At 46.5% G+C, this 12,266-nt stretch overlaps 1 protein-coding gene across 1 annotated transcript in view, besides 1 other annotated feature; it reads left to right on the forward strand.

Moving 5' to 3' along the window:
• Positions 1–12,266, forward strand: part of MYH7B (myosin heavy chain 7B) — a 46,570-nt gene that overhangs the window by 273 nt on the left and 34,031 nt on the right. Inside the window, exon 2 of the mRNA NM_020884.7 lies at positions 1,958–2,072. The gene's annotated coding sequence lies outside the window, so the exon portion shown is untranslated. The remainder of the gene's footprint in view (positions 1–1,957; positions 2,073–12,266) is intronic.
• Positions 10,958–11,115: a silencer, noted in NCBI's record as "fragment chr20:33554901-33555058 (GRCh37/hg19 assembly coordinates)". NCBI's record gives its function as "represses an EF-1alpha promoter that drives an FKBP-Casp9 reporter gene in an ReSE screen in K562 erythroleukemia cells {active_cell/tissue: K562}" and the evidence as "EXISTENCE:reporter gene assay evidence [ECO:0000049][PMID:32094911]".

The following is a 12,266-nucleotide window of genomic DNA, read 5'->3' on the forward strand; positions in this document are numbered from 1 at the left end:
CCCCAAGGAGGGGCAGGGGCCCATAGTACGTCAGGGGCTGAGCCTGTATTAGAACCCAGGCTTGTTTCCCAGCCCAGCCAAGTCCCAGAAAAATCCCCCTGATTTTATCTATTTTTTTTTAACCTGGGATACCAGCAGGGAAAGCATTAGAGGCAAAAGGAAAGGATTTTCATTTTTCCAGGAATGCTGAAGTCAGGACTGTTTGAGGGGAGCCCTGTGTTTCTCAGACTCTCTTGTACCGTTTACATCAGGATCTGGGGCAGTTTTTAAAAATATGCGGATTCATGATTCCTACCCCCCACCTCATTGCTTGGCAGCCCCCAGGTGCCTTCCCTGTTTCTTCCTTCTGGGTTGTGATAGGCTTGTCTGCAGTCCGAAGCACCTGATACGAATTTTAGTTAAATGGAATGTATCAGTCCAGCTTCTAGGGAATTAACCATAAATAAGACACAGCCACTGCTTTCAGTCTGATAAGATAGGCAATAAACTGCCTTTCTGAAGGAATCAGGGATGGTTTTTGGGGTCTTGAAGGATGGATAGGAAGGTATAGGTAGTGAAGGAGGTAGGGGTAGAGGTGAGAGGCTGGGATGGGGACAGTGTTCCAAATTGCAGGAACAAAAGCAGCAAAGGCTGGCTGGGTGCAGTGGCTCAGACCTGTAATCCCAGCACTTTGAGAGGCCGAGGCAGGTGGATTACTTGAGCTCAGGAGTTGGAGACCAGGCTGGGCAACATGGCGAAACCCCGTCTCTACTAGAAATACAAGAATTAGCCGGGTGTGTTGGCCCGTGCCTGTAATCCCAGCTACTCGGGAGGCTGCGGCGTGAGAATTCTTGAGCCCCGGAGACGGAGGCTGCTGTGAGCTGAGATCACGCTGCAGCACTCCTGCCTGGGTGACAGCGTGAGACCCTGTCCTAAAAACAAAACAAACGAGCAGCGAAGGCATATAATTCTGAGGGTTGCTCGGCTTGTTTTACAGACACTGAGGAGTTTGGTGTGGATAATGAGGAAGGGCCTGAGGGTTGCAACAGGACTTAGGCGCTTAGGCTTGGAGAGGTAGCCTCAGACGCCAGTTCCACTGAGCAACAGGAGCTAAGGGCTTTAAGCAGGGGAAGGACATGGTTAGTTTTGTGTGTTAGGCACTGGTTACAGCGTGACAAATGGTTTGGAAGTGGGGAGATGGGCCAGAGAAAGCAGAGAGAGTTAAGATGTGAGATCATGAGGCTGTAGCCAGTGCAGCAGCTGTGGAGATGGAGCGAAGCGAACAGATCAAAGAAATTTAGGAGTGAGAACTCCTAGTGATCGTAAATCAGTGGCCCAACCCAGGGACCAAGATCCTTTTGACTCTTTTTTTTTTTTTTTTTTTTTGAGACGGAGTTTTCGTTGTTGTTGCCCAGGCTGGAGTGCAGTGGCACGATCTCAGCTCACTGCAACCTCCACTTCCCAGGTTCAAGCAATTCTCCTGCCTCAGCCTCCCAAGTAGCTGGGATTACAGGCGTCCACCACCACACCCGGCTAATTTTTGTATTTTTGGTAGAGACAGGGTTTCACCATGTTGGCCAGATTGGTCTGAAACTCTTGAGCTCAGGTGATCCACCCGCCCCAGCCTCCCAGAGTGCTAGGATTACAGGCGTTAGCCACTGCGCCCGGCCCCTTTTGACTCTTTAAATAAACCATGTACATTATCTGACTACAGGACAGGCTGAGTCCTCCAGTCTCCCGTGTGTGGTCACGGGATGGGGGGAGATGGTGGCAGATAGGTGTCTGGTTATTCCCAGAACAATGTTTCCTGATGTCCTTTCCTCGTTGGCTTTTGTACCTGAGGGGATAAGCAGCTGTTAACTAGAATAGGCCCCAGGTGGCAGGAAGAGGCTCCTGGGTCAACCAGGAACAAAAGAAGCTATTTCTAGTGCAGCATGAAATTAAAAATCAAAAGCATGACCCAGGGTTCTCTGTGCAGGTTCCCCTCTTCCAAGACGGGTGCCAAGTGATGAGTATCAGGTGTCTATGGTGAGATTTGGGGAGGATCCCAGACCTTAACAGCCCTTTGGTTGAAACCTCTCACAATGTGGCAGGTAAGATGTCTTTATTCCCATTTTGTAGATGTGGCAGCTGAGCCTCAGAAGTTACGTGACTTGTTCAAGGTGACCCAGTTTGTGGTAGGACTGGGAGTGAAGGACTCTTGACTAAGAATCTTTCCAGGGAGCGTTTGCCCTTTCTGCACTCTCTGCCTGGGTGCTTTCCTCCAAAATCCTGGCATGACTGGCTCCTTTGGTCATTCAGATGTTTCATCCCTGGAGGCTGCCCCACCCTATAAGTCTATCACGTTATCCTTTTCTTTTTTTTGAGATGGAGTCTCACTCTGTTGCCCAGGCTGGAGTGCAGTGGTGCGATCTTGGCTCACTGCAACCTCTGTCTCCTGGGTTCAAACAATTCTCCTGCCTCAGTCTCCTGAGTAGCTGGGATTACAGGCACGTGCCACCATGCCCGGCTAATTTTTGTATTTTTAGGAGAGACAGGGTTTCACCATGTTGATCAGGCTGGTCTCAAACTCCTGACCTTGTGATCCGTCCGCCTCTGCCTCTCAAAGTGCTGGGATTACAGGCGTGAGCCACCGTGCCCGGCCTTGTATTTTCTTCATAGCAGTTATTCATATCTGAAATTGTTGCTTTTATTTGTTTGCTGTTTCCCTCTGCTAGAATGTGAGCCCCATGAAAATGGGCCATGTCTGTCTTGTTCACCACTTTACCCCCAGGACCTGACTGGTGCCTGCCACGTGGCAGATGCTCAATAATATTTGCTAACTGATGGAAATAGTTTGGGGAGAGAGAAAGAGAAGGAAACCAACATTTAATGAAAGCTGAGGATGTTTCAAGTACTTCTCACAAATTACCTCATTTAATCCCTTCACAGCCTTTCAAGGTAGAAATCGTATCTCCATTGGGTGAATAAGAAACCATGCTAAGTCAGGTCAAGTCTGTGGTTTGTTACTTTTGAGGCTATAGACTCGTCTGAGATCCATTAGTATAAAATTTTGCATCAGCTACGTGGAGGAATTCACAGACCTTCTCAGGCTCACTTGGGGATCTCAGATCAAGACACATAGGATTGGGGAACTTGCCCAGGGTCTTTTTGGCCCCAGGCCTTTGCTGGATCCTCACTCCCTGGCAAGGATGGAGTCCATGTAGTGGACTGTAGGGAACCTGCTGAAGATTCCGGAGCAGAGGGAGATGATTTGCCCTGAGCCTCTGGTGTCTCAGACCTGAGTTTGAATCCTGACTGTGCAGAAGTCATCTCACCTCTCCGAATCCCACTTTCCTCATTTTATTTTTTTTCTTTCTTTCTTTTTTTTTTTTTTGAGATGGAGTCTCTCTCTGTCACCCAGGCTGGAGTGCAGTGGCACGATCTTGGCTCACTGCAACCTCTGCCTCCCGGGTTCAGGCAATTCTCCTGCCTCAGTCTCCCGAGTAGCTGGGATTACAGGCACATGCCACCATGCCCAGCTAATTTTTTGTATTTTTAGTGGAGACAGGGTTTCACCTTGCTGTCCAGGCTGGTCTCGAACTCCTGACCTCGTGATCTGCCTGCCTCAGCCTCCCAAAGTGCTGGGATTACAGGTGTGAGCCACCGCGCCTGGCTTTCCTCACTTTCAAAGTGAAATCTGTTTTTTCCTAACAATAACTACCCTTTATTGATCTGGTCGCTAAGTGTCAGGTACTTGGCTAATGACTTTACAGTCGTTATCTCACTTTCCCTTACCTCCCTATCACATCAGTATCTTTATAGCCTCCATTTTACAGCCGGGGAAAGGAAGGCTTGAAGAGGTATCCTGACTTGCCAAAGATCACAGCAGCAGTGTCAGCCATGGTGTTCCCACATATGTACCTTGGGACATGCCATGGGCTCAGACTTCCCAAAGCTAACTGTTGAATCAATTTCATCCTCTGTTCTTGGGGTTTGTGGGAACATTTGGGTCTGAATTAGGTGAAAAAAGGTATGCAGGGATGTACTTCACTGTGAATGGAGGCCAATCCCTTAATTTTGTGTCTTGCCTTTCTCCCTGCGAGGGCCTCTCTCCAAGTCTGGACTGTGGGTTTTTTTTGTTTTTGTTTTTTTGAGATGGAGTCTTGCTTTGTAGCCCAGGCTAGAGTGCAGTGGCGCCATCTTGGCTCACTGCAAGCTCCGCCTCCCGTGTTCATGCCATTCTCCTACCTCAGCCTCCCGAGTAGCTGGGACTACAGGCGCCTGCCACCACGCCCGCCTAATTTTTTCTATTTTTAGTAGAGATGGGGTTTCACCGTGTTAGCCAGGATGGTCTCGATCTCCTGACCTTGTGATCCACCCGCCTCAGCCTCCCAAAGTGCTGGGATTACAGGCGGGAGCCACCGCACCCAGCCACTGGACTGTGCCTTTTGATTGGAACATCTCTGTCAGCCCCAGGGTCTGCATCACACATGGTCTGCATCTGTGCACATGGCTACTGTCTCTTTTTAGCAGTGATATCACCCTGCCTCATACTGTTGTTTATGAGGCCATCTCCCCACCTGGCTGGGGGCCACTGCTTTGGCCATTCAGAGTGGAATTCCTCTGTCTTCCAGCCCCTAGCACAGGCCTGGGCCAGCATTGCTGCTCAGGAAATGCCTGTGGAATCAAAGTGAGGACTGTCCCAGGTGTTGAGGATTTACTGTATGCTAGGCCTGTCCCTGACACTTTATATGTGTTATCTCATTTACACCCCCACAGTCATCCTGGGAGGGAGAAGTTACTCTGCCTATTTTACCGAGAAGAAACAGACTAATTGAAGTTGGGCTTTGCCTTAGGCCCTCTTGTGGTGGTTGATGGCACGAGGGCCAACTCTAGGGTCTGTGCCCTGGTCGTGTTTGAGGTGTGTGGGCTGAAAAAGGGAAGACACACTTCAAGGCTCCAGGGATCCTCAGAGACCTTCTACTAACAGGTTCCCAGTCCGGCTCTCATTTCATCCGTGAGGACACAGAAGGTTAGAAAGGGGAGATAACTTACTTATAGACCCTCTTCTCCACTTGTTATATACTTATGTATCCACTTACTTTTTGGCAGGATGGATCTGTTTTGACTCAACATTGTACCACCCATGTAGCCCAGTGCCTAATCCAGGTTGATGCCCAGTAAATACTTTTACATTTTATTTATTATGAAACCACTGAGAAAGGTATAAAAATTAACAGAACAAATACCTGTGTACCTACCATCCAGCTTGCAAAATAAAACACTGCTAATATAAAGACCTTTTTGTTTCCCTCCATGACTGACCCCCCAACCCAAGAAGTAAAGACTCTCCTGATTTGGTGTTTATTATTCCTATGCAATGTTTATTGAGATATAATTCATGCACCATAAAACTCCCCCTTTAAAGTGTGCAATTCAGTGGTTCTTGGTATATTTACAAGATTGTACAACCATTACCACTGTCTCATTCCAGAATATTTTCATCACCACAGAAAGAAACCTCATCCCTATTAGTAGATACTCCACAATTCTCCTTCTCCCCAGCCCCTGGCAACCAGTAATTTACTTTCTTTGTCTATGGATTTGCCTTTTCTGAATATTTCCTGTAGGTGGAATCCTACAATCTGTGGCCTTTTGTAACTAGCATCTTTCACTTAGCATAATGTTTGCAAGGTTCATCCATGTTGTAGCATGGATCAGAACTTTATTCCTTCATATGGCTGAATAGTCTTTCATTGTACAGATATATCACACTCTGTTCCTCCACTCATCAGTTGATAGGCATCTGGGTTGTTTCCACTTTTTGCCATTAAGAATAATGCTGCTATGGCCAGGAGTGGTGGCTCATGCCTGTAATCCCAACACTTTGCGAGGTTGAGGTGGGAGGATCACTTGAGCTGAGGAATTCAAGGCCAGCCTGGGCAACATAAGGCTCTCTACAAAAAAATTTAAAAATTAGCCGGGCGTGGTGGCATGCGCCTGTCATCCCCACTACTAGGGAGGCTGAAGTGGGAGGATCACTTGAGCCCAGTAGGTCAAGGCTGCAGGGACCTATGGTCACGCCACTGCACTCCAGCATGGGTGACAGAGCGAGACCCTGTCTCAAAAATAATTATAATAATGCTGCTATGAACATTCATGTACAGGTTTTTGTGTGAATGTTTTCTGTTCTCGTGGGTAGATACCTAGGAGTGGAATTGCCGGGTAATATGGTAAGTATATGTTTAACTTTTTGAGGAACTGCTGTTTTCCAAAGTGGCAGCAATTGTATCAGAGCTCCAATTTTTACATCCTCACCAATACAGTTATCCCTCTGTATCTGTGGGGAATTGGTTCCAGGACCTCCCATGGATACCAACATCCAAGGATACTTAAGTCCCTTATATAAAATGATGCAGTGTTTCATATATGCTTAAGTCCCTTATATAAAATGGTGTAGTGTTTCATATAAACTATATGCATCCTCTCATATGCTCTTTAATTTTGTTTTATTTTATTTTAAATTTAAATTTATTTTTATTTATTTTGAGACAAGGTCTCACTCTGTCAGGCTGGAGAGCAGTGGTGCGATCATAGCTCACTGCAGCCTTGAACTCCTCGGTTCAAGGGATCCTCCTGTCTCAGCTTCCCAAGTAGCTGAGACTACAAGCGAGAGCCACCACACTGTCCTTTCCATGTACTTTAAGTCATCTCGGCCGGGTGCAGTGGCTCACGCCTGTCATCCCAGAACCTCAGGAGACCAAGGCTGGCAGATCACCTGAGGTCAGGAGTTCGAGACCAGCCTGGCCAACATGGCGAAAACCCATCTCTACTAAAAATACAAAAATTAGCTGGGCGTGGTGGCGCACACCTGTAGTCCCAGCTATTCAGGGAGGCTGAGGCAGAGAATCGCTTGAACCCCAGAGGCAGAGGTTACAGTGAGCTGAGATCGCGACACTGCACTCCAGCCTGGGTGACAGAGCGAGACTCCGTCTCAAAAAAAGAAGTCATAAATGCTATATAAATTGTTATACTGTATTGTTTAGGGAATAATGACAAGGAAAAAAGTCTGTACATGCTCAGTACAGTTGAAACATTGTTTTCAAATATTTTCAAGCTGCAGTTGGTTGAATACACAGATGTGGAACCCATGGATATGGAGGTCCCACTGTACTTGTCTGATTGTGGCCATCCTGGTTGGTCATTGTGGTTTTGATTTGCATTTTCCTAATGACAAATAATGCGCATATCTTTTCATGTGCTTATTGGTAGTTTGTATATCTTCTTTGGAGAAGGGTCTATTTAAATGTTTTCCTTATTTGTAAGTTATTTGTCCTTTTATTATTGGGTTGTAGGAATTCTTTATATATTCAGGATAGTAGATCCTTCCTTATATGTGATTTGCCAATAATTTGTCCCATTCTGTGGATGGTCTTTTCTGTTTTTCGATAGTATCTTTTGAAGCACATATTTTAAAATTTTGACGAAGTCCAATTTATTTATTTTTTCCTTTGCTTGTGCTTTGAATGTCATATCTACGAAACCATTGCCTAATTCGAAGGTCACAAAGATTTACACTTACTTTTTCTAAGAGTTTTATAGTTTTGGCTCTTAAATTTAAGTCTTTGATTCATTTTGAGTTAATTTTTATATAGGATGTGAGGTAGGTCTTATGCATTTTTACCCTCCTATTAGGTGTATTTCTAAGCAATATATGACACTTTTTCATGGTATTTGCACTTTTAAGTGGTAAATTATATGATTCTTGTGCAGCTTGCTTTTCTCTTTCAGTGTTATATCAGGAGATTTATCCATGTTTTAAGGGGAAATAGTTCATTCATTTTCACTGCTCTATAGGTTTCATTGCATAAAAATACCAAAGTGGCAGCAATTGTATGAGAGTTTTGTTTATTCTCCTGTGAATGGTCACTTGGGTTCTCTAGTATTTTATTACTATATATGGTAAAAAGACTAATAGATGCCTCCTGTGCAGTGTGTTGAAGGTCGTGAGCATATTCAGACTTACAAGGTAATACAAAGTTTCTTTCCCAAATGGTTTTGCAAATGTGCACTCCTGCCAGCAGTGTATTAGAATTGCCCTCATTCTGCATCCTCACCGAGACAGAATGGTCAAGGTTTCTAGCTTTTGTCAGTCTAGTGATGTGAAACGGTGTCTCGTTGTGATTTTCCAGATTAATAGCAAGATTTGTTTTTCAGTAAGTGTTTACATGGTTGGATGGATGAATGCATGAAAGCAGAAGGGGCCCAGAATAACCCTTTACTCTGCCTGTTGTTGGAGGATGGCAGGGCTCTGGGCCTAGACTATGTGGCTCTCTGTAGGGACACCGTGGAGCTAGAGAATGTTGGGGGCAGGCTGACAACTCTAGATGTGGGAGAGGACGGTTGTCACCTTGAAACTAGTGATGGGAGCTTCTCTCTACCCAGGGAGAGGCTATCGTCCTGCTCTTCCATCTCCTTGAATTTTCCAAGAAGGGAGGGAGTGGAGAAAGAGTGAAGCCAAAAGAGAATTCCTGGGACTGGGCGCGGTGGCTCACGCCTGTAATCCCAGTACTTTGGGAGGCCAAGACAGGAGGATCACTTGAGACCAGGAGATAGAGACCAGCCTGGGCAACATAGTGAGATCCCACCTCTACAAAAAATTTTTGTAAAATTAAAAAACAAGGGAATTGCCTAAGGATGAGAGGTCACAGTGGCCTAAGTGACCCTTAGGAATGACCCTTTTTCTGGGACTTTTTCATGATCTTTATATTGGTGTGACATGAACTTTCCTTGTTTAATCTACTGAGTTTGGAGATGGTCTTAATGATAATAAGAAAATGAATAGTAATGATTATATGTTGAACTCTTATGTGCCAGGCACTTACGCCTTTTCTTTTTAAAAATAGGTATTATCTCATTCAATTCCTATGGGACAGGTACTATTAGTATTCCCATTTTATTTTATTTTTAAAATAGGGATGAGTCTCACTGTGTTGTCTAGGCTAGTCTCAAACTCCTGGCCTCAAGTGACCCTCTTGCCTTGGCCTCCCAAAGTACTGGGATTACAGGCATGAGCCACCGCACCTGGCTCATTCCTGTTTTATAGATGAGGAATCAGAAGATCAAAGAGACAGAGCAACTCTGAGGGTTTGCACATAGGCAGTTGGACTCCAGAACTCTTAGGCATCATGCTGTGTGGTTAACCTGGCTCAGCCGAATCCACTAGAGCAAAGAAAAGAGAGGCTTGCCCAGGCTTGGGTGAGAAACAGGAGTCAGAATATTCACTGGGCCTGGCCTGAGGGCGCAGCAGGGAGCAGAGCGAGAGGCCGCTGGGAAAGATGGTTCTCAAAAGCAGAAGCCTCACGCCAGGGGACATGGCCCATCAGCAAGCACATGGGTGCCTCTTCTGGGCATGCTGGCTGCTGGGGACCCAGAATGGGATCTGTCTGCTCCTGGGTCTCAAGAAAGACCTGTCTTGTGGGGTAGACAGATGATAATAAGCAGACTTACCCATAAGTGTAATACACTCAGAAATGGGGACATGTGATACAGAGGGTGAAGAGAGAACCTTTATAGAAAGGACCTAGTTTAGTTAATGTAGTCAAAGGAAGCCCCTTTGAGGAGGTGACATTTGAGTGGAGGCTCGAGAAGAAGGAAGCAGCCATGCCCCAGTTTGGGGAAAGAGTAAATGGCAGATGCAGAGTCCCTGAGACAGAAAGGAGCTGGTTTAGTTGTAAACTCTCAGAAGGCCACTGTATCTGGAGTGATATGAATGAGAGGGTGGGGCTACTGTAGATGGGCTGGTCAGTTGGCAGGGCCAGGTCAGGCTGGGTCTCCAGGCCAGGGTCAACATATAGGTCTATAGCCAACATGTTTAAATAAGGCCCATAAGACTGTCTTCTTGCTGTCCCTGAGAACTGGGTGTTTGCATATTTGGAAGGGACTGAATCCTGATGCCTAGGCTGGGAAAGAGGGTCGGGGGGTGGGGAGAATTCTTGGCTTCTGGCCCTAGAAAGCTGGAACAAGAATTTGGAGGCTGCATCCCACTGACTCCCAGATGGGTTGGAGGGTGGGTGGCCTCAGCCACCAGGGCCCTGTGATAAGGTGGCACCACATACTGATAGCTGTCCAGATATCCTTCCACAGGTGAACGGTTCATCAAACTGTGGCGCATCCATACATACCATGAGTACCACTCAGCAATAAAGACACAAACATGAAATGAGCAACACCTTGGAAGAATCTCCAGGGACTTATGTGGAGTGAAAAAAGCCAGTCTCAAAAGAGTACATCCTATATGATTTCATTTATGTAACATTTTGGAATGACAGTTTTAGAAACAGAGGACAGACTGGTGGTTGCCAGGGGTTAAAGATGGGAGGGAAGTTAGTGTGGTTCTATAAGGGCAACACCTTTTTATTGTTAGAACTGTTCAGTGTCTTGGTGGCAGTGGAAGATCTGTGAATTGACACGGGTGATGAAGTCGTATAGAACTTAATACATGCAGATGTGCGTGCACACACACGCTCACAACTAGTACATGTAAAACTGGGAAAATCTGAATAAGATCGGTACATTATATCAATGTCAATAGTACAGAGTTACTGTACTATTGCTTACAATTGCATGCGAATATACAATTATCTCAATAGAAATTTTAATTAAGAAATGAAATTTGGCTAGGCATGGTGAGGCACGCCTATAGTCCCAGCTACTTGGGAGGCTGAGGCAGGGGGATTGCTTGAGCCAGGAGTTCAAGGCTGCAGTGAGCTATGATTATGCCACTGTACTCGAACATGGGTAACAGTGATACCTTGTCTTTAAAAATTTTTTTTTTAAAAAAGGGAGGCTGAGCACGGTGGCTCACACCTGTAATCCCAGCACTTTAGGAGGCCGAGGCGGGTGGATCACGAGGTCAGGAGTTCGAGACCAGCCTAGCCAACATAGTGAAACCCCGTCTCTACTAAAAATATGAAAATTAGCTGGGCATGGTGGCGCGCACCTGTAGTCCCAGCTACTGGGGAGGCTGAGGCAGGAGAATCGCTTGAACCCAGGAGGCGGAGGTTGTAGTGAGCCGACATCACGCCACTGTACTCCAGGCTGGGAAACAGAACGAGACTCCATCTAAAAAAAAAAATAGGAAATTTAAGGCCCAAAGCATTAGATAGAATGATAGAGATATTTGTACTAATAAAATTTTCAGCCCATGGAAAAAAAATCTGAAGGCTCTGCTCAAGGAGGTCTCTTGTCCTTGAGTTAGCAAAGTCACAGGGAGGTAGGCAGTGTGCCCCCAGCTGTGGGAGCAAGCAGGGTCACCCTCAGGACACTCAATATAGAGCGGTGGTACCCTCAGACCCTCTGGGTAGGTTTCCCAGCTTAGCCTTTTGGGCCTCCCTCTGCCCCTCACCCCTCAAGCTGATTGACCACGATCACAAGGGTAGAGCAGAGCTACAGCACCCCCCGCCCTCCACTGCTGCTTGGTCTTTCATGGAGAACAGACATTCTCCTGCTCCCCACTCCACCAGGTTAGGTAAGGACCCTTCCTGGGGAGGCCCCTGTGTCAACTGTGCTTAACCGTCTGTGCCTGTGTGTCCCCCAGCAGCCTAAGACTCCTGAACCTTCAGAACAAACCTGATGCCAATTCCAACCTGGAGGGCACGGGAGAGTGTTTGTTTGAAGCACTGAACTACATGGGAAACTGACCAAGCCTGGGGCAAGCCCATCCTGAGACCCCAGGCAGGGCCTCAGCTTTGGTCCAGGATTTGTGGGGTGGTTTTACAAGATCCTGGGATTTCACATGTGGGCCCCACTAAGACCTCTCTTCCAGAATGTTGGCTGCATTGGGCACTGTCTCAAATTCCACCTACAGAGTGGCAGACCCAAGGCTTCCCGCCATAGTACCCCAACACCCACAGAGCCACAGCTGCATCCTCAAATTAATTGACATCTTCCCATGGGCTGAGCACTTTGTTTCATTTATTTCTCTCAACCACATTACAAGGTAGGTCTTCTTTGTGTATTTATTTTGCAGAGAAGGAACCCAGGGCTCAGAGAAGTTACGTAACTTGCCCAGGGTCACTCAGCTTGTAAATGGCAGAGCAAGGATTTGAAAAGGCAGTCCTGACATGTGGCAGGCCTGAACGAGTCCCTGCAGATGCAAAGCTGAAGGAGAAACATTGCCTGCTCTTAAGGAGCTAATGATAATATCACCAGATATTTACATAGTGCTTATGATGGGTCAGGCACAGGCTAGGCTCTCTGCATGTGTTATTTCATTGAATCCACACCACAACCCAGTGGAATAA

Source organism: Homo sapiens, chromosome 20 (assembly GCF_000001405.40).
Source record: "Homo sapiens chromosome 20, GRCh38.p14 Primary Assembly".
NCBI classification, from domain to species: Eukaryota; Metazoa; Chordata; class Mammalia; order Primates; family Hominidae; genus Homo; species Homo sapiens.